This window comes from Homo sapiens, chromosome 11 (genome assembly GCF_000001405.40).
Source record: "Homo sapiens chromosome 11, GRCh38.p14 Primary Assembly".
In the NCBI taxonomy this organism is placed as follows: domain Eukaryota; kingdom Metazoa; phylum Chordata; class Mammalia; order Primates; family Hominidae; genus Homo; species Homo sapiens.
In genome coordinates this window covers 116,659,677-116,683,011 of record NC_000011.10, presented here as the reverse complement: position 1 = coordinate 116,683,011, position 23,335 = coordinate 116,659,677, and positions in this window count along the sequence as shown.

Genomic DNA, 23,335 nt, shown 5'->3' with positions numbered 1-23,335 from the left:
AGCTGGAGTGCAGTGGTGTGATCACAGCTCACTGCAGCTTCAGTCTCCTGGGCTCAAGTGATCCTCCCACCTCAGCCTCCTGAGTAGCTGGGACTACAGGTGCACACAATCTCACTTGGCTAATTTTTGAATTTTTTGTAGAGACAGGGTCTTCCTATGTTGGCTAGGTTGGACTTGAACTCCTGGGCTCATGCAATTATCTGCCTTAGCCTCCCAGTGTTCTGGGATTACAGGCATGAGCCACTGCACCCAGCAGGACTCACCCTGTTGATAGCCACCCACTACAGGAGAATTACGAGACATTCATTACTGCCCCCATTACTTTCATCCCTGGAAGTAGAATGGGCCAGTACAGTCTCACAGTATCTCTGTACTTTTACTATGCAATGTTTATAACTGACATAAGAATTAGGACTATAAAGAAATAGGAGATGAAATTTCAAGTAGTGAATTCTTTATTGTGGCGATAGTCAAGTCATAGTTGGACAACTACTTATCAGTGAATGTTGCAGAGGAGTTTCTAATAATGGATGGGAATGTGAACTGGCCTAGGAGTTCCTAAATTTGAGCATCAGAATCACTTAGGAAATTTTTTTGTTTTTATTTTCTTGAAGGTATTATATGCATATGGTTTTAAAAAATCAAATAATGCCAAAAGGCTTATAACAAAATACAGGGGTTTTCTGTCTCAGCACTCCTCTCTTCCCAATCTTCCTCCTCAGAGGAAATATCTTTGACTCTTTATCCTAATATTTATACACATTTCTATTTTTTTTTTTTTTTTGAGATGGAGTCTCACTCTGTCACCTAGGCTGGAGTGCAATGGTACAGTCTTGGCTCACTGCAACCTCCGCCTCCCGGGTTCAAGCGATTCTCCTGCCTCAGCCTTCTGAGTAGCTGGGACTACACGCGCATGCCACCACACCCGACTAATTTTTATATTTTAGTAGAGACGGGGTTTCACTATGTTGGCCAGGCTGATCTCGAACTCCTGACCTTGTGATTCACCCGTCTCAGCCTCCCAAAGTGCTGGGATTACAGGCTTGAGCCACTGTGCCCAGCCATATTTTTCTAAATAAATATTGATCCTTTTGATTCATAATTTCAAGATATCCATTGACTTCTCTTTATTATAGATAGATAAATTAGTTATAAGCCCCAATATAGCTATATTACCATTTACAATATACCAATATTCAGTATTTACATTGTTATGCAAATATTAATAACTGAACATTGTAGTATACTTTTTTTTTATTTCTCCTGAAGTTAATAATTGCCCTGATTGTTAATTTGCTTAGTTTTGTGTGTACCCATTTCCAATTCTTCCTATATCTCCTAGCAGGCTCTCAGTATGATTTACCACAAGGCCAGTCTCTCAGATAATCTGTTAGCTGCATTATGTAAAAAATTAGAGCCATCCCTCCTGAAGACCTCCATTTTTTTTCAACCTGTGTTAATTACTCTGAAGGCTTGTTGCACCCCTATCATCTGGGTCTTGTCTTTGCTGTCAGTCTTGGGTTTCCCTCACCTCTCTCCTGGGTTGAATTCCTTGTTTCCAAATCTCATGTCTTTGTCTATCTTATCAGATTAATGGTATAAATGCAAAGGTATGGTGGTGATATTCGTATCTCTTGAGTCATAGTGCTCCAATATGAGTTGATTGTCTTTCCTGCGTTGTGAACAGTTGTCACTCTGGAGTCTTTTTTCACCCTTGTCCAGGGGATTTCCTTTGCTTCTCTCTATGCCTTCCCCTTTCTTGGCTTACTCTTTTGTTTTGGTAAGAGACAAGCTCTGTAGCTTCATGACAATTACGGAAGAGAGAAATCTTTTGAGATCTTGCAAAATTGAAAAGTCTAATTATTCTACTTTATAGTAGGTGATAGTTTGTATAGGTATAGCATTTATGGTAGCATTTAGTATTATTCACCAATATTTCTAGTTTTTCCTTTTCTGAACACATGACAGGATTGTATACCCTCAGTTTCTTGAAGTTAGGCATCGTGATGTGATTTGCTTTAGAGAAAATGTGAGTAAAAGTGAAAGGTATTACTTGACTTCAAGAGATGATGTGTAATTCATCATGTTTCCTCTCCGCTACTAACATTTGAGATGCTGGAGGCTCTGTCAGCCTGGGTTCCTGAGTGAGAATAACTTGGGACATTTTTCTCCCCACCAAGTAGCTGAGCAAGAAACTTTCATTATTTTAAAGCATCAAGACTTAGGGGTTATTTGTTGTCACAGCATAATCTAATTCATTCTGACAGATATTAAGATATACTCCCAGGCTGGGCACAGTGGCTTACACCTGTAATCCCAGCACTTTGGGAGGCCAACGTGGATCCCTTGAGCCTGGGAGGAGGAGGTTGCAGTGAACTGAGATTGTGCCACTGCACTCCAGCCTGAAGGACAGATGGAGGCCCTGTCTTAAAAAAAGAGAAAAAGATAGACTCCTAGAAATGGAATACAGTACTGATGAAACAGAAAGCTTAAAATAGATGATCTGTCCTAGGGGCTGTGTAGTGAACTGCAAGAAAATTTTATTGGAGGTTAGAAGATGGAAATTTATATTATGCAGTGGGAAATATTTATTACAATTGTATGGATGTCAGATCACATTTTGAGAAAATTGTAACTGAAGATGAAGATACGGGAAAACAGTATGTTACCAAATGTTTAGTTATTATTGACTGTGCTTGGCAAAGTATTATAGTAATAAAGAATGTGCTCAGAAAAGAATTGGCCAATATGCAAGCAGAAATGAAAGTGAATAGAAAGTTTCCAAAATCTGGAGGCCTTGAAATATTTGGGAGAGCCATAATTTTGGATTCCAAATAGTAGAAGATAAAATTGAGAAAAGTTTTGAATGAAAAATTTATTACTGTGGCAAGGATCAAAATAAGGGCATGGCCACTCTTAAAATCTTTGAGTTTATTAATATGTTTCAGAGTATCTTTCAAGGATATGGCAGCTAGTTATCCCTTTAAATTGGACAGATGTCTCAAGGAAAAGAGACTAAGGCTGTGGATATCTACACAATCCTGATAGGCTCAAGGTACACTGATCTTTAGATGGAGAGAGATTTGGAGATGAGAAATCAAAGGCATAACTCTGGAATCTGTGTCTCTAAAAGAAATATGGTTATGGCTACTGGATTCTATTGCTGTCAGAATCAAATAGGTAAGAAATTATTGAGATAGTTGCATGGCCAAAAGAACCACCAGTCTGGACTTAGACTATTAAAGACCTAAAATGACCCTATGTATCAGTAGCAGATGATCTGAGAAAGAGGCTCAGCCCTTAAGAAGAGCATATTCCCTTACATTCACTTCCAATATGGCCAAGGAGAATAATGGAAAATAATTTCCTAGAGGAAGGAGTCAGGAGAAATGGAGTATAATGAATGAAGGAGCTCCTCTTAGAGTCCATTTGCATTGCTATAAAGGAATACCTGAGGATGGGTAATTTATAAAGAAAAAAGGTTTATTTGGCTCATAGTTCTGCAGGTTGTATAAGAAGCATGGTGCCAGCATCTGCTTCTGTTGAAGACTTCAGGAAGCTCCCATTCATGGCAGAAGAGGAGCAGGAGCAGCCATAGCATGGCAAGAGAGGATGGAAGGGGAGGAAGGTGCCAGGTTCTTTTTCACAATCAGTTCTCATGGGAACTAATAGACCAACAACCACTCATTACTGTGAGAATGACACCAAGCCATTCATGAGAGATCCGCCTCCATGACGCAAACACCTCCCACTAGGCCCCACCTCCAACACTGGGGATGAAACCTCAGCATGAGATTTGGAAAGGACAAGCATCCAAACTGTATCATTGCTATACCCAGGTAGTATAACGGTAGCCAAACCCAGAAATATCCCTGCTCCCAGGGGTTGTCCCTCAAGATGTCTGCCCAGCAAGATTTCAGAATTGCTATGAGTCAGTGTCTTCTGTGTCTTTCCATTCTTCCCTTACTGAATGGGACTGGCTATTGTGGTTATCCTATCCCTGTTTCAACATTGTATCTTGGGTGTGTGGAGCAGAAAATTTATTTTTAGCTTATAGGTCTCCAGATTAAGAGGACAGTCACATCTGGATCTAGTGTATACACCATAACACATCAGTCAGGGGTCCTGAACTTTGCTTTAGTTGCTATGACTAGATGGAACTTTTGGGTTGCTTTCCTAGGGGAGAGGGTGAGTGCGTGTTGCTTGGTGAGGTGAGTGAGCCAAATATTTGGTGGCCAGAGGATGAAATGGTCATTCATTCATTCATTCATTCTCTCTCTCTCATATCAATCATCTATCTATATCTAATTCTTCTCTCTCTGGGTACATGGTGGAGTTACTCTTCTCTGATTCCTTGAAGTTACGTAAGTCTGTACAACTGACTATGGCCAGGGAAATGTGAGCAGAAATGATGTGTGCCACTTCCTGTCAGAATTTTTTAAAATGGGTACATAATGTACTTATTTTGGGGGTACATGTGATATTTTGATACATGAATACAATGTATAATGATCAAATCAGGGTAATTGGGATATTCATCACCTCAAATATTTATCTTTTATTTGGGAACATTCAAATTCTTCAGTTATTTTGAACTATACATTATTGTTAATGATAGTCACTTTATTGTACTATTGAATACTAGATCTTATTCCTTCAATCTAGCTGTATATTTTTTAAGCCAATAATCAACCTCTCTTCAATTCTCCCTCTCTCCTCCCCTTCCCAGCCGCTGGTAACCACCATCAACTCTCTACCTGCATGGATCCACTTTTGCTTACCCTTATGAGTGAGAACATGTATTTGTCTTTCTGTGGCTGGCTTATTTCACTTAACGTAATGACCTCCAGTTCTATTCATGTTGTTGCAAATGACAGGATTTCATTTTTTAAGTCTAATATTCCATTGTGTATATATACCACATCTTAATCCATTCATCTACTGATGGATGCTTAGGTTGATTCCATATCTTCACTATTGTGAGTAGTGCTGTGATAAACATGGGAGTGCAGATATTTCTTTGATATACTTATTTTCTTTTGGATGTATACCCAGCAGTGGGACTGCTAGATCATGTGGTAGTTCTATTTTTAGTTTTTTGAGAAACCTCCATATTGTTTTCCATAATGGCCGTATTAAGTGACATTCCCACCAACAGTATATGTGTTCCCCTTTCTCCAGTCTTTGCCAGCATTCTTATTTCCTACCTGTTTGATAATAACCATCCTCTCTGGAATGAGATAATACCTCATTGTGGTTTCGATTTGCATTTCCCTGGTGATTAGTGATGTCGAGCACTTTTTTCATATTTTTTTGTCATTTGTATGTTGTCATTTGAGAAATGTCTGTTCAAATATTTTGCCCATTTTAAAATCATACCGTTTTTCGCTATTGAGTTGTTTGAGCTCCTTATATATTCTGGATATTTATCCATTGTCAGTTGGGTAGTTTACACACATTTTCTCCTGTTCTTTGGGTTGTCTTTTCACTTTGTTGTTTTCTTTGCTGTGCGAAGTTTTTAGCTTGATATAATCCCATTTGTCTATTTTTGCTTTGGTTTTCTGTGCTTTTGAGTGGTTTTTTTTGGTTGGTTTTTTTTTTTTTTTTTTTTTTACACGGAGTCTCACTCTGTCACCCAGCCTGGAGTGCAGTGGTGCGATCTCGGCTCACTGCAACTTCCACCTCCCAGGTTTAAGCCATTCTCCTGCCTCAGCCTCCTGAGTAGCTGGGATTACAGGCACCTGCCATCACACCCAGCTAAATTTTTTTGGTATTTTTAGTAGAGACAGGGTTTCACCATGTTGGCTGGGCTGGTCTTGAACTCCTGACCTCAAGTGATCTGCCTGCCTCGGCCTCCCAAAGTGCTGGGATTACAGGCGTGAGCCACCGCGCCCAGCCCATGCTTTTGAGGTTTTACACAAAAAAAATCTTTGTCCAGACCAATGTCCTAGAGCATTTCCCCAATGTTTTCTTCTAGTAGTTTTATCGTTTCAGATCTTAGATTTAAGACTTTAATCTATTTTGATTTGATTTTTGTGTATGGTGTGCAGTAGACATCTAGTTTAATTCTTCTGCATATACTTACTTCCCAGTACCATTTATTGAAGAGACTGTCCTTTCCCTAATGTATGTTCCTGGTGCATTTGTTGAAGATAAGTTGGATGTAAATACATAGACTTATATCTGAGTTCTCTACTTTGTTCTATTGGTCTATGTGTCTGTTTTTATGTCAGTACCATGCTGATTTGGTTGCTATAGCTTTGTAGTAAATTTTGAATTCAGGTAGTGTAATGTTTCCAGTTTTGTTCTTTTTGCTCAGGGTTGCTTTGGCTATTTGGGGTCTTTTGTGGTTCCATATAAATTTTATAATTTTTTTTCTATTTCTGTGAGGAATGTCATTGGTATTTTGATATGGATTGCATTGAATCTGTAAATTGCTTTGGGTAGTATCATCATTTTAGCATAGTAATCCTTCCAATCTATGAACATGGAATATCTTCCTATTTTTTTGTGTCCTTTTCTATTTCTTTCATCAGAGTTTTATAGTTTTTTTGGTATAGATCTTTCATTTCTTTGGTTAGATTGATTCCTAGATATTTTATATTTTTTCATAGCTATTGTAAATGGGGTTGTTTCCTTGATTTATCTTTCAGATTGTTTGCTGTTGGTATACATAAATGCTACTGATTTTTGTACGTTGATTTTTGTATGCTGCAACTTTACTAAATTTGTTTATCCATCCTAACAATTTTTTTTGGTGGAGTCTAGGTTTTTCTAAGTATAAGATCCTGTAAACCATATACAAGTCTAATTTGATTTCTTCTTTCCCGATTTGGATGCTTTTATGTCTTTCTCTTGCTTAATTTCCCTAGCCTGGACTTGCAGTATTACACTGAATAATAGTGGTGAAAGTGGGCATCCTTGTCTTGTTATCTTAGCCAAAAGGCCTTCAGTTTTTCTCTTTCCAATGTTAGCTGTGGGTTTGTCATATATGGCCTTTATTATTTTGAGATATGTTCCTTCTATACCCAGTTTGATGAGGGTGTAAAATTCTAAAGGGATGTTGAATTTTACCAAATGCTTTTTAGGCATCTGGTGAAATAATCATATGGCTTTTGTTCTTGGTTCTGTTAATGTGATGTGTCACATTTATTGATTTGTGTAGGTTGAACCATCCTTGCATCTCTGGGGTGAATCCCACTTGATTATGTTGAATGATCTTCAAATGTTGTTGAATTCAGTTTGCTAGCATTTTGTTGAGATTTTTTGCATCTACATTCATCAGATACATTAGCCTGCAGTTTTTTTTTCATTGTTTCCTTGTCTGGTTTTTGTATCAGGGTAATACTGGCCTCCTAGAAAGAATTTGGAAGTATTCCCTCCTCTTCAATTTGTTTTGAAGAGTTTGAGTAGAATTGGTATTAGTTCTTTAAATGTTTGGTAGAATTCAGCAGTGAAATCAACAAGTCCTGGGCTTCACTTTGCTGGGAGACTTTCAGCTTCAATTTCATTACTTGTTATTGGTTTATTGAGATTTTCAATTTCTTCATGGTTTAATCTTGGTAGGTTTTATGTGTCTAGGAGCTTAACAGTTTCTTCTAGGTTTTTGATTTTGTTTTATAGCTGTTCATAATAGTCTCTGATTCTTTGTATTTCTATGGTATTGGTTGTAATGTTTCATTTTTCATTTCTGATTTTATTTGGGTCATCTCTTTTATTCTTAGTCTAGCTAAAGCTTCGTTGATTTTGTTTCTCTTCAAAAAAATAACTTCATTTTTTGTATTTTTCTGTATTTAAGTATCAATTTCATTTACTTCTCTGCTCTTTATTTTTTTTCTTCTGCTAATTGTGGGTTTGGTTTGTTAATGCTTTTCTAGTTTCTTTAGGTACATCATTAGGTTATTTATTTGAAGACTTTCTACTTTTTTGATATAGGCATTTATTGCTATAAACTTTCCTCTTAGTACTGCCTTTGCTCTATCCCATAGATTTTGACAAGTTTTATGTATACTTGTTTCAATAAAATTTTAAATTTCCTTCTTAATTGTCTTTTATTTGCAAGTTTTATTTTTAGTTCAGGGGATACGAGTGCAGGCTTGTTACACTGGTAAATTGCATGTCTCTGAGATTTGGCATATGAATGATTCTGTTACCCAGGTAGTGAACATAGTACTTGATAGGTAGTTTTTTCAGTGCTTACACACTCCCCACCTTCTCCTTCTTAATTTCTTAATTTACCTATTGACCTTTCAGGATCATATCGTTTAATTTCTATGTCTTTGTATAGTTTTCAAAATTCTTCTTGTTATTGATACCTGGTTTTATTCCATTGTGGTCAGAAAAGATGCTTGATATGATTTTGACTTTTTTTGAATTTATTGATACTTGTTTTGTGGCCTAACATGTGGTCTATCCTTGAGAATTTTCTATGTGCTGATGAGAAGAATGTGTATTCTGCAGCTGTTGGATGAAATGTTCTGTAAATACCAGTTAGGTCCATTTGGTATAGAGTGTAGTTTAGCACTGATGTTTCTTTGTTAATTTTCTATCTGATGATCGTTTAATTACTGAGTGGGATGTTGAAGTCCCCAACTATTATATTGCAGTCTATTTTTCTCTTTATATATATATGTATATGAATATATATAACAATATATAAAATATATATAAATATATAATATATATAACAATATATAATATATATAAATATATAATATATATAACAATATATAAAATATATATAAATATATAATATATATAACAATATATAAAATATATATAAATATATACATAAATATATATAAATATATAAATATATACATATATAAATATATATACACATATAAATATATATACATATATTAATATATATACACATATATAAATATATACATATATAAATATATATACACATATATAAATAAATATATACACATATATAAATATATATACACATATATAAATATATAAATATATATACACATATATAAATATATATACATATATAAATATGTATACATATATATAAATATATACACATATATAAATATATATACATATATAAATAAATATATATAAGTATATATAAATATATATAAATATATAAATATATAAATATATATAAATATATATAATATATAAATATATATAAATATATATAAATATATATAATATATAAATATATATAAATATATATAAATATATAAACATATATAAATATATATAAAAATATAAATTATAAATATATAAAAATATAAATATATATAAATATATATAATATATAAATATATAAACATATATATAAAATATAAAAATATATAAATATATAAATATATAAAAATATAAATATATGTAAAAATTAAATATATATAAAAATATATATATATAAAATAAGTATATATAAAATATATATAAATATATGAGTATATATAAAAATATATATAAATATATAAGTATATATAAAAATATATATATAAGTATATATAAATATATAAGTATATATATAATATAAATATATATAAATATATAAATATATAAATATATATAAATATATATAAAAATATATAAATATAAATATATATAAATATATATAAATATAAATATATAAATATATAAATATATAAATTAAATAAATAAATATAAATATATAAATATATATATAAATATATATATAAATACATATGTTAATGTTTGCTTTATATATTTGGATGCCCTGGTGTTGGGTGCATTTGTATTTATAATTGTTATATTCTCTTGCTGAATTTACCCCTTTATTATTATATAATGACCTTCTTTTACTTTTTAAATGTTTTTTGACTTGAAGTCTATTTTATCTGAAATAAGTATAGTTGCTCCTGCTCTTTTGTAGTTTCCATTGTATGGAATAACTTTTTCCATACCTTCACTTTCAGCCTATGGGTGTCTTTATAGGTAAAGTGAGTTTAAGGTCTTATCTATTTTTTTTTAACCCATTCAGCCACTCTGTGTCTTTATTGGAGAATCTAGCCTATTTACGTTAAATGTTATTGATAGGTAAGGACTTACTACTGCCATTTTGTTACTTGTTTTCTGGTAGTTTTAACTCCTCTTTTCCTTCTTCCTTACTGTCTTCTTTTGTAGTTAAGTGATTTTCTCTGGTAGTATGACTTATTTTTTTTTTTATTATACTTTAAGTTCTAGGGTACATGTGCACAAAGTGCAGGTTTGTTACATATGTATACATGTGCCATGTTGGTGTGCTGCACCCATTAACTTGTCATTTACATTAGGTATTTCTCCTAATGTGATTCCTCCCCACTTCCCTCACCCCACGACAGGCCCCAGTGTGTGATGTTCCCTGCCCTGTGTCCAAGTGTTCTCACTGTTCAATTCCCACCTATGAGAAAGAACATGCGGTGTTTGATTTTCTGTCCTTGTGATAGTTTGCTCAGAATGATGGTTTCCAGCTTCATCCATGTCCCTACAAAGGACATGAACTCATCCTTTTTTATGGCTGCATAGTATTCCATGGTGTATATGTGCCACAGTTTCTTAATCCAGTCTATCATTGATGGACATTTGGGTTAGTTCCAAGTCTTTGCTATTGTGAATACTGCCACAATAAACATACACGTGCACGTGTCTTTACAGCAGCATGATTTACAATCCTTTGGGTATATACCCAGTAATGGGATGGCTGGGTCAAATGGTATTTCTAGTTCTAGATCCTTGAGGAATCACCACACTGTCTTCCACAATGGCTGAACTAGTTTATACTCCCACCAACAGTGTAAAAGTGTTTCTATTTCTCCACATCCTCTCCAGCACCTGTTGTTTCCTGACTTTTTAATGATCGCCATTCTAACTGGCATGAGATGGTATCTCATTGTGGTTTTGATTTGCATTTCTCTGATGACCAGTGATGATGAGCATTTTTTCATGTGTGTGTTGGCTGCATAAATGTCTTCTTTTGAGAAGTGTCTGTTATATCTTTTGCCCACTTTTTGATGGGGTTGTTTGATTTTTTTCTTCTATATTTGTTTAAGTTCTTTTTAGATTCTGGATATTAGCCCTTTGTCAGATGGGTGGATTGCAAAAATTTTCTCCTGTTCTGTAGGTGCCTCTTCACTGTGATGGTAGTTTCTTTTGCCATGCAGAAGCTCTTCAGTTTAATTATATCCCATTTGTCTATTCTGGCTTTTGTTGCCATTGCTTTTGGTGTTTTAGTCATGAAGTCCTTGCCCATGCCTATGTACTGAATGGTATTGCCTAGGTTTTCTTCTAGGGTTTTTATAGTTTTACATCTAACATTTAAGTCTTTAATCCATCTTGAATTAATTTTTGCATAAGGTGTAAGGAAGGGATCCAGTTTCAGCTTTCTACATATGGCTAGCCAGTTTTCCTGGCACCATTTGTTAAACATGGAATCCTTTCTCCATTTCTTATTTTTGTCAGGTTTGTCAAAGAGCAGATGTAGATGTGTGGTGTTATTTCTGAGGCCTCCGTTCTGTTCCAGTGGTCTATATCTCTGTTTTGGTACCAGTACCATGCTGTTTTGGTTACTGTAGCCTTGTAGTATAGTTTGAAGTCAGGTAGTATGATGCCTCCAGCTTTGTTCTTTTTGCTTAGGACTGTCTTGGCAATGCAGGCTCTTTTTTGGTTCCATATGAACTTTAAAGTAGTTTTTTCCAATTCTGTGAAGAAAGTCATTGGTAGCTTGATGGGGATGGCATTGAATCTATAAATTACCTTAGGCAGTATGGCCATTTTCACGATACTGATTCTTCCTATGCATGAGCATGGAATGTTCTTCCATCTGTTTGTGTCCTCTTTTATTTCGTTGAGCAGTGGTTTGTAGTTCTTCTTGAAGAAGTCCTTCATATCCCTTGTAAGTTGGATTCCTAGGTACCTTATTCTCTTTGAGGCAGTTGTGAATGGGAGTTCACTCATGATTTGGCTCTCTGTTATTGTCTGTTATTTGTGTATAGGAATGCTTGTGATTTTTGCACATTGATTTTGTATCCTGAGACTGCTGAAGTTGCTTATCAGCTTAGGGAGATTTTGGGCTGAGACATGGAGTTTTCTAAATATACAGTCTGTCATCTGCAAACAGGGACAATTTGACTTCCTCTTTTCCTAATTGAATACCCTTTATTTCTTTCTCTTGCCTGATTGTCCTGGCCAGAACTTCCAACACTATGTTGAATAGGAGTGGTGAGAGAGGGCATCCCTCTCTCGTACCAGTTTTCAAAGGGAATGCTTCCAGTTTTTGCCCATTTAGTATGATACTGGCTGTGGGTTTGTCATAGATAGCTGTTATTATTTTGAGATACGTTCCATCAGTATCTAGTTTGAGAGTTTTAGCATGCAGGGCTGTTGAATTTTGTCAAAGGCCTTTTCTGAATCTATTGAGATAATGGTGTTTTTTGTCGTTGGTTCTGTTTATGTGATGGATTATGTGTATTGATTTGCATATGTTGAACCAGCCTTGCATCCCAGGGATGAAGCCAACTTGATCTTGGTGGATAAGCTTTTTGATGTGCTGCTGGATTCGGTTTGCCAGTATTTTATTGAGGATTTTTGCATGGATGTTCATCAGGGATATTGGACTAAAATTCTCTTTTTTTGCTGTGTCTCTGCCAGGCTTTGGTATCAGGATGATCCTGGCCTCATAAAATGAGTTAGGGAGGATTCCCTCTTTTTCTATTGATTGGAATAGTTTCAGAAGGAATGGTACCAGCTCCTCTTTGTACCTCTGGTAGAATTTGGCTGTGAATCCGTCTGATCCTGGACTTTTTTTGGTTGGTAGGCTATTAATTATTGCCTCAATTTCAGAGCCTGTTATTGGTCTATTCAGGGATTCAACTTCTTCCACGTTTAGTCTTGGGAGGTTGTATGTGTCCAGGAATTTATCCATTTCTTCTAGATTTTCTAGTTATTTGCGTAGAGTTGTTTATAATATTCTCTGATGGTAGCTTGTATTTTTGTGGGATCAGTGGTGATATCCCCCTTAACATTTTTTATTATGTCTGTTTGATCCTTCTTTCTTTTCTTCTTTATTAGTCTTGCTAGCAGTCTATCAATTTTGTTGATCTTTTCAAAAAACCAGCTCCTGGAGTCATTGATTTTTTTTGAAGGGTTTTTTATGTCTCTATCCCCTTCAGTTCTGCTCTGATTTCTTGCCTTCTGCTAGCTTTTGAATGTGTTTGCTCTTGCTTCTCTAGTTCTTTTAATTGTGATGTTAGGGTGTCAATTTTAGATCTTTCCTGCTTTTTCTTGTGGGCATTATTTAGTGCTATAAATTTCCCTCTGCACACTGCTTTATATGTGTCCCAGAGATTCTGGTATGTTGTGTCTTTGTTCTCATTGGTTTTAAAGAACATCTTTATTTCTGCCTTCATTTCGTTATTTACCCAGTAGTCATTCAGGAGCAGTTGTTCGGTTTCCATGTAGTTGTGCGGTTTTGAGTGAGTTTGTTAATCCTGAGTTCTAATTTGATTGCACTGTGGTCTGAGAGACAGTTTGTTGTGATTTCTGTTCTTCTACATTTGCTGAGGAGTGCTTTACTTCCAACTATGTGGTCAATTTTGGAATAAGTGCAATGTGGTGCTGAGAAGAATGTATATTCTGTTGATTTGGGGTGGAGAGTTCTGTAGATGTCTATTAGGTCTGCTTGGTGCAGAGCTGAGTTGAAGTCCTGGATATCCTTGTTAACCTTCTATCTTGTTTATCTGTCTTATATTGACAGTGGGGTGTTAAAGACTCCCACTATTGTGTGGGAGTCTAAGTCTCTTTGTAGGTCTCTAAGAACTTGCTTTATGAATCTGGGCGCTCCTGTATTGGGTGCATATATATTTAGGGTAGTTAGCTCCCTTTACCATTATGTAATGGCCTTCTTTGTCCCTTTTGATCTTTGTTGGTTTAAAGTCTGTTTTATCAGAGACTAGGATTGCAACAACACCTGCTTTTTTTGTTTTCCATTTGCTTGGTAGGTCTTCCTCCATCCCTTTATTTTGAGCCTATGTGTGTGTCTGCACATGAGATGGGTTTCCTGAATACAGCACACTGATGGGTCTTGACTCTTCATCTAACTTGCCAGTCTGTGTCTTTTAATTGGGGCATTTAGCCCATTTACATTTAAGGTTAATATTGTTATGTGTGAATTTGATTCTGTCATTATGATGTTAGCTGGTTATTTTTCCCGTTAGTTGATGCAGTTTCTTCCTAGCATCGATGGTCTTTACAATTTGGCATGTTTTTGCAGTGGCTGGTACCGGTTGTTCCTTTCCATGTTTAGTGCTTCCTTCAGGAGCTCTTGTAAGGCAGGGCTGGTGGTGACAAAATCTCTCAGCATTTGCTGGTCTATAAAGGATTTTATTTCTCCTTATGAAGCTTTGTTTGGCTGGATATGAAATTCTGGGTTGAAAATTCTTTAAGAATGTTGAATATTGGTGCCCACTCTCTTCTGACTTGTAGAGTTTCTGTTGAGAGATCCACTGTTAGTCTGATGGGCTTCCCTTTGTGGCTAACTCGACCTTTCTCTCTGGGTGCCATTAACATTTTTTCCTTCATTTCAACCTTGGTGAATCTGACAATTATGTGTCTTGGGGTTGCTCCTCTCAAGGAGCATCTTGGTAGTGTTCTCTGTATTTCCTGAGTTTGAATGTTTGCCTGCCTTGCTAGGTTGGGGAAGTTCTCCTGGACAATATCCTGAAGAGTGTTTTCGAACTTGGTTCCATTCTCCCCGTCACTTTCAGGTACACCAATCAAACGTAGATTTGGTGTTTTCACATAGTCCCATATTTCTTGGAGGCTTTGTTCATTCTTTTTACTCTTTTTTCTCTAAACTTCTCACTTCATTAATTTGATCTTCAATCACTGATACCCTTTCTTTCAGTTTATTGAATCAACTACTGAAGCTTGTGCATGTGTCACATAGTTCTTGTTCCATGGTTTTCAGCTCCATCAGGTCATTTAAGGTCTTCTCTACACTGCTTATTCTAGTTAGCCATTCATCTAATCTGTTTGCAAGGCTTTTAGCTTCCTTGTGATGGGTTCGAATATCCTCCCTTAACTCAGAGAAGTTTGTTATTACCAACCTTCTGAAGCCTACTTCTGTCAGCTCATCAAAGTCATTCTCCGTCCAGCTTTATTCCGTTGCTGGCAAGGAGCTGTAATCCTTTGCAGGAGAAGGGATGCTGTGGTTTTTAGAATTTTCAGCTTTTCTGCTCTGGTTTCTCCCCATCTTTGTGGTTTTATCTACCTTTGGTCTTCGATGATGGTGACCCACAGATGGGGTTTTGGTGTGGATGTCCTTTTTGTTGATGTTGATGCTATTCCTTTCTGTTTGTTAGTTTTCCTTCTGACAGTCAGGTCCCTCAGCTGCAGATCTGTTGGAGTTTGCTGGAGGTCCACTCCAGACTCTGTTTACCTGTGTATCACCAGCAGAGGCTGCAGAATAGCAAATATTGCAGAATAGCAAATATTGCAGAATAGCAAATATTGCAGAACAGCAAATATTACTGCCTGATCCTTACTCTGGAAGCTTCATTTCAGAGGGGCACCCAGCTCTATGAGGTGTCATTCGGCCCCTACTGGGAGATGTCTCCCAGTTAGGCTACACAGGGGTCAGGGACACACTTGAGGAGGCAGTCTGTCCATTCTCAGAGCTCAAACTCCATGCTAGGAGAACCACTGCTCTCTTCAGAGCTGTCAGATAGGGACATTTAAGTCTGCAGAAGTTTCTGCTGCCTTTTGTTCAGCTATGCCCTGCCCCCAGAGGTGGAGTCTACAGAGTCAGGCAGGCCTCCTTGAGCTGTGGTGGGCTCCACCCAGTTCGAGCTTCCCAGCCGCTTTGTTTACCTACTCAAGCTTCAGCAATGGCGGACGCCCCTTCCCCAGCCAGGCTGCTGCCTCGCAGTTTGATCTTGGACTGCTGCACTAGTAGTGAGCAAGGCTCTGTGGGCGTGGGACCCGCTGAGCCAGGCGCGGGGCATAATCTCCTGGTGTGCCATTTGCTAAGACCGTTGGAAAAGTGTAGTGTTAGGGCGGGAGTGTCCCAATTTTCCAGGTACAGTCTGTCATGGCTTCCCTTGGCTAGGAAAGGGAAATCTCCCGACTCCTTGTGCTTTCCGGGTGAGGTGACGCCCTGCCCTGCTTTGGCTCATGCTCCATGGGCTGTACCTACTGTCCAACAAGTCCCAGTGAGATGAACCAGGTACCTGAATTGGAAATGCAGAAATCACCTGTCTTCTGTGTCAATCACGCTGGGAGCTGCATACTGGAGCTGTTCCTATCTGGCCATCTTGGAATGGACTTCCTCTGGTAGTATGTTTTAATTGATTGCTTTTTATTTGTAGTGTATTTATAGATTTTTGCTTTGTGGTTACTATGAGGCTTACAAGTTCTTCTAAACAGACAGCAACTTAAATTTGATCACAAAAATAAGAAACAAAGGAAAAACTAAACAAAACTCTACACTTTAACTCCACCCCTTGCTACATTTTGACTTTTGTTGTCTCAGTTTACATCTTTTTATTTTGCCTATCTCTTAACAGGTTACTGTAGTTATTATTTCTGATAGTTTTGTCTTTTAGTCTTCATACTAGAGACATGAGTGGATTACACACCACAGTTACAGTGTTAGAGTATTCTGAATTTGTTCACTTACTTTTACTAGTAAGTTTTATAACTTCAAATGCTTGCTTTTTGCAACCTTTCTTTCAGATTGAAGAACTCTCTTTAGCATTTCTTGTATGACGAGTCTAGTGATGAATTCCCTCAGCTTTTGTTAGTCTGGGAAAGACTTTCTCTTTCCTTCATGTTTGAAGGAAAGCTTTGCCAGGTACAATGTACTCAGCAGTTTTCTTTAAAAACACTTTAAACATGTTGTCCTCCTCCCTCCTGGCCTCTGTTTCTGGTGAGAAGTACGTTGCTAGACAAATTGGAGCTCTTTTATGTACTATTTGCTGCTTTTCTCTTGCTGTTTTCAGGATCCTCTGTCTTTGACCTTTGAGAGTCTGATTATTATATGCCTTGGGGTAGTCTTATTTGGGTTGAATCTGTTTGGTGGTCCCTGAACCTGGATATTTACATCTTTCTTTAGGTTTGGAAAATTTTCTTATTGTTTCTTTGAACAAACTTCTTACTCTTGCTGTTTCTCAACTCCCTCCTGAATGCCAATGACATACATTTGCTTTTTGGCAATTATTTTCTATATCTTGTAGGCATTTTAAATTCCTTTTCATTTTTTTCTGTGTATTTTCCAGTAAACTATCTTTGAGCTCACTGATTCTTCTGCTTGATCTTCCTTCTGCTGTTGAGAGTCTCTAATGTATTTTTCAGTTCAGTAAATGCATTTCTCAGTTCCAGGACTTTTGTTTGATTTTTTAAAAAATTATTTCAACCTTTTTGTGAAATTTCTGTTAATTTTCTGAATTGATTTTCTATATTACCTTGGAATTCACTGCATTTCCTTAGAATTGCTATTTTGAATTCTTTATCTGAGAGTTCACACATCACCATCTTGTTAGGGTTGATCACTGGCTCTTTGCTTTGTCCATCTGGGGAGGTCATGATTCCCTGTTTGCTGTTGTTTCTTGTGTATGTACATTTATGGATTTTCATTGAAAGATTAGTTACTTATTCTAGTCATCACTGTCTCACATGTTCTGGTCTTTCTAGGGTATATTTGCTTAAAGGTTCTTTGTAGCTGTCTGCAAGTCTCCTTAATCCTATATTGTTGCCTCTCTTTCTTGGCACTAGGTAGTGCTTTAAGCTCAGGTTTGCCTCAGCTCTCACGAAAGTTCAGAGCACTGTCCATCCAAATGTTCAGAGCACTGCCCATCCAAATGTTCAGAGCACTGCTTGTCCTGAATGGGGGATATTCTGGCTAAATGGGAAGGCTGGCAAGGAGTGTATGCCCAGTAGGCCCGTGGAGCATGCCTTCTATAGCATGCTGTTAAACAGCTACTCTGATTTGGCATCTCCTTTGGCTGAGATAAAAAGCAGAGTTTTGTGGGCTGGGGTTTCTAGTCCTGCCTCCCCTGTTTGTCTCTAGGTACCCTCAGGGTTTTCTCTCCCTGTAGGCACTTGTGGTGCTTCTGGTGGGCTGAGGTAGGAACAGTGTTTGTGCAAGGGAACCCAAGAAAGTGAGGAAGCTGGCTGTCTGCCTTGCTTTCACTTCTTCCAGTGTAGAAAATGTGAATCTGGAAGAAATGATCCATGAGTGGTGCCTGGCAGATTGAAGGAGGGGCATTGTGGATAGAGAAGTCTGTTTCTCTTACCATCTACTCAGAGTGTTTTACTTCTCTGTCGTTCCGGGGATTGTCTCAGCCTCAGAATTGAGTTCTGGGATAATGCTGGTGATAATCTTGGTACTGGATTTTATTTTATTTATTTATTTTTTGTGGGAGAGAATAAAGCCAGGTTGCTTTGACTGTACCAATTTGGTGATATCACCTTGACAGAATTTTTAAGAGAGCCATTTGTCATGTTTCCTTTTCTACTATGGAAATAGATGAAAACTCCAATAGCCTGGGTCCCTGCTGAACTGAGTTGAATGTGTTAACAGCTGAGATTTTGGAGTTGTCTGTTATTGTAGTATAACCAAGCCCATCCTGACTAATACAGAATTCTAATTTGTAAATTGTTTTTCTTCAGAACGTTAAACATGTCACTCCTTTGCCTTCTTTAGTATGGCTGTTGAAAAGTTTAAAACCATTCTAATTCTTGATTCTTTCATTGTGACCTTCCCATTTTTTTTCTATTTGAATTTTATCTTTAACCTTAGTGTTCTGAAACTTCATAATGATGTGTCTTAGTGTTCACTTATTTTCATCAATTGTACTTAACATATGGTGGTCTTTCAGCTTGGAAATTCATGTTCTTTTGTTTTTGGGAAATCTCATGAGTTATTTTATCGATTTATTTTTCTCTATTTTTTGTTTTTATTTTGTTATTGATGTTGAATTTCCTGAACTAGTGTTCTAAGTTTTTTACTTTTTTTTTTTTTTTTTAAGAGATGGGGTCTCTCATGTTTTCCAGGCTAAAGTGCAGTGGCTATTCACAGGCGTGATCATAGTGCAACGCAGCCTTGAACTCCTGGGCTCAGGTGATCCTCCTGCCTCAGCCTACCAAGCAGCTCACACTACAGGCACATGCTACTGCACCTGTGGCACACTTTTGGCTGCCATAAAAATATACTGGCTACATTTCCTCTTATTTTCCATCTTTTTGCTCTGTTTTCTAGGGTATTTCCCCAAATTTATCTTCTTTCCTATTGCATTTTTTGTTTTTGCTATCAGAAATTTCCAAGAGCTCTTTGCTGTTCTTTCAGTGTTCTTCTCTTATAGTATTCCATTCTTATTTTGTGGATGCAGTATCTTCTTTTATCTCTCTGAGGACATTAATTTTAACTTCTAAATTTTCTTTCCTCTGTCTAGTTTTCTCCTCCAAGTTATTATTTTTTTTCTGTTTATTTGCTTTGGCCTCTATCTTTTGTATTAGAAGCTTTCTTCCCTCAAGTATCTGATAATCCATGGCTGTCAGCTCACAAGTCACTCAGCAGGCTGAAGAGCTGATTATAAGCTCTGAACTTGAGGGGTGCTTGCCAACTTCAATGGGCTGTTTGTTGGAGAACAATGTCGGTGTCTTGGGTCCCTCTTCTTGGACTGGCTGTATTTCCCAGATGGTACTTTACCAAACTCCTGCCTGAAGGATAAACGTCTGATTGCCAGCATTCTGGAACCAAGTAGACGATCAGGGCTGGAAGTCTCTGGCTCCCATATTTAGTGTTACATGCTAACTGGTTTCCGTTGTTTATGGTCTGGTACTCACCCCCTCATTTGTGCTGTTTGGTCTGTAGAGACCCTTTCTAGAGAATAAACTTCCAGTGTTCTGCAGTGGGTTGGGTGGGGGGCAGTTGCCCAGCAGCATGGAATGGGGGAGGAGACCGAGAAGGAGAGGGCAGTGAAGGAGAGGGACAGACAGGACAGAGTAGTGTCCCTGAAGCAAGTGACACAGAGGTTTCGGGAAAGAGGGAGTGATCACCTGTGCCCAACAGCCTGATGAGTAAGATGGGGATGGAAAAGTAACCCTTGGGCCTGGCAGCACAGAGGTCATTGGTCACCTCAATGAATGATGTCTCCTGGAGCCATGGGAATGAAAGCCTGATCAGAATGAGTTCTAGAGAAAATGGTAGGAGAGGAAGCTATGGCAGTGATTGTGAAGAACTTTTTCCATTTGACTTATTTCTGTTTCAAAATAACCCTGTGAAATGGGCAGTCATCCCCATTTTATAGATTTATAGTTGAAGAAACAGTCTCAGAGAGGTTTAAGTGAATGGCCTCATTGCTAGCTGCTTCTCAAAAAGGCTTTCCTCTAGTCCTTTCTGTTTTCGCCACCTCCTCCCCAGCCTTCACCACCTCCTCCCCAGCCCTCGTTCCAGAGGTGTCTGGAACTGTCAGTTCCTGAGGCTTTTGTGGACTTTTACAGTGTAAATTGGACTAATTCTCAGCTTTTCCTGTTGCTAGCTGTGGATTCAGCATTCTTAGGTCCACAAAGTCATTTATCACTTGTCTTGTCCCTTAGCTTTTCAGCTTCCATAATTTTGTGATTATTGTCTGAGCTGCCAAGAGTGATTTCAGGCCCCGGGAAGCTCTCCTGGACTTCAGACCCCCCTTCTTAACTCCTCTGCTGATTCTTGCTCATCTCTTCAAATTCTGAGGGCTCGGTCCTTGTACTTCTTCTCTTCTCTCTCTTCCTAGACAATTTCTTCCAGTCCCATGGCTTTAAATACCTCCAAGTCTGCAGGACCCCAAAGTCTCTGCCCCTCACCATGTGTCCCTGCTGCTGGCCTTGACAATGTTTGCCTAGTCCGGGCTACAAAATAGGCCACCTGTCCCCCTCCCATTTTCTATCAGCCTCCACTGACATCCCCCTGCCCTGCCCCAGACCCCCTCATCCTCTCCACTTCCTTTTCCTTGGGGCCAGGAAGGAAGAGTGTCTGCACAGAAAGCCTGTTGTCTGCTCATTCTCAGGCCTGCTCTGATCACCTCCCTGGGGAAGCCTTCCAGGATGGCAAAGGCACATTCCTGTGTGCACACTTGCTGGGGTTCCTCACACACCTGCCTCCCTGGCATCTGGTCAGGTTTGTGCCTGTGTGAGCTACCGCTTGGCCCTCCCCCTGGGGACAAACCCCATACAGTGTCATTGACAGTCCCCTCTTTTTCCCTCTAGTTCCTTGGACTCTTACCCCTATGGGTATTTGATAACAGGCATGGATTCTCTCCCCAGAAAAGTGTTTATAAACTCATTTTGCATCTAATTTCTGGGGGTTCAAGGACTCTCTGAAACCCCTGCATAAACCCCCTCATTATCTCAGGGTAAGAACCCCCAAGCTAAGTGAGACAAGCATGGATCGTGAGCACATATGCTCCATTCCCAGTGCTTGCCAGGACTTGACTTGCAATAGGTGTTCAGTCGGTAAAGGCGTATCCTGCATCTACTATGTGGCAGGTGCTGCTCTACATACTGTGAGGACTCTACATAGCAGTGAGGACTGCAATATTTTTGCCCAGGGAGCTGGCATTCTGTGGGGAGACCAACATAAATGCACATGTATGTATGTTACAGTGTCAGGAGTGCTAAGATGTGGGCAGAAGCCAGATCACTTAGGAACTTCTAGCTCACAGTAAGGACTTCAGACTTTGTCCGGAGCGTGATAGGACACTATTGAGCAGGGAGTGATAAGATCAGATTTTGAAAGACCATTCTGGCTGCTGTGTGCAGAGTGGGCTGTGGGGAATGGTGGAACTGCTGCAGTGGTGAATATTCAGAAGTCAGGCTGACTCACCTGGCTCAAAGGCTGGGCACAGGCTGCCCTGCATACCCTGGGCCTTTGAGCAGCAGGGCAGTCGGGGGGAGGGGGCCTCCTGGCTCTGCTATAGCTCCCAGAATCCCCTATCACCTTCTCTCCCCTTACCAGCCTCCTCCCTTCTCAGGCAAATGTCGCCAGGGTACCCAGACTGTTCTCCTGCTTCCTCTCCCCACAATTTTCTTCCTGCTTTGGGTCTTGCTGTCCTGCCTTGGGCCTGTACTGTGTGGATCTAGATCTATGCCAGGAATGCAGCAAGGGCCCAATCTGTAGTACTTCTTGATTGAATGGAGCATGAGGAGGAAAGTGAACTGGAAGCAATGGCTTTGGCCCCAGGCAAGTGGCCAGATGGCATTTATTCCCATATATGTATCTGCCTCAGTACATGCTGTCTATACCTATGGGGTTGTATCTGTACTGGATACGTGTGTGTGTGTGTGTAGGGACAATACTATGCACCTGCATGGCTCTGGTGAGTTCACCTTGGTGGATCCCTAAGCTTCCCTGCCCTCAGGTTAGGAAGGGGACACCCCCATCCCCCTGGCTGGGTGCAGGCTCTGGACTCCCTTGCAGTGGGAAGGCAGTCTGAGAATCCCACTGTAGGTGGTGGTGGGACTGACTTTGAGTCTAGGCTGCCACTGCACCCTGGGGAGACATTCCCAGAACCTGGTGGCACAGTGATCATTACAGATGCTGATAAGCAGTTCTGAGGGAAGGCGTGGATCAGTAGGCGAAGGGGAAGGATTTCTTGTTTGCCACCGGCCCCTTCTCATCATCTCCCAGGAGGAGGAGGATGCTGTATAGGCCATCTGCCTCTCCTGCCCCCTCGGCCCCCTCAGCAGCATGCAGGGCCTGCTACCTCAGAGAGGGTTCTTGCCGGCTTTGTGCCTTCAAGGCTATAGGCAAATCAGCTTTGGCAGAGAAGCAGAGAGGGGTGTTGGCCATGTCCCTGCAGCCTTTCTGGGGAGAGTGTCAGGGTGGAAACGTGGGCCTCCCAGCACCTCCCAGTATGTGTGCCTCTCCGCAGTACCCTGGCCTGAGGAGGGGCGGGGAGGAGGACCTAGTGTTCTTCTATAGAACTCATGTGCCTTTACAAGTGCCAGCCCCCACGCTAGGCCCCCCCAAAGCTCACCATCCAGTAGGAGAGTTAGACCAGAAATAAATGAGTGGGACAAGGGAGAGTGGCTTCGAGGAAGAAAAAGTATTGGGGGCCAAGAGGCAGGGGCACTTTGCCCTTCCTTCCTCAGGAGGCAGGGGAAGGGGAGAAGGAGTGTTCCTGGGGAAGATGGATAGGATTTTTCCAGGTAAAAAGAGAATTTCACCTGCACTGACCCAGAGGTGTGAATGCAGGTATGGGGCTCAGGGCTAAGAAGGTCTTGGGCTTGGTGGTGCTGGGGCAGGCTATGGTAGAGGATGCAGTTAGAACGGGAGGAGCAGGTGGGGTGAGTTAGAGTGAAGGGCTTGTCCAGGTGGTGACATGCA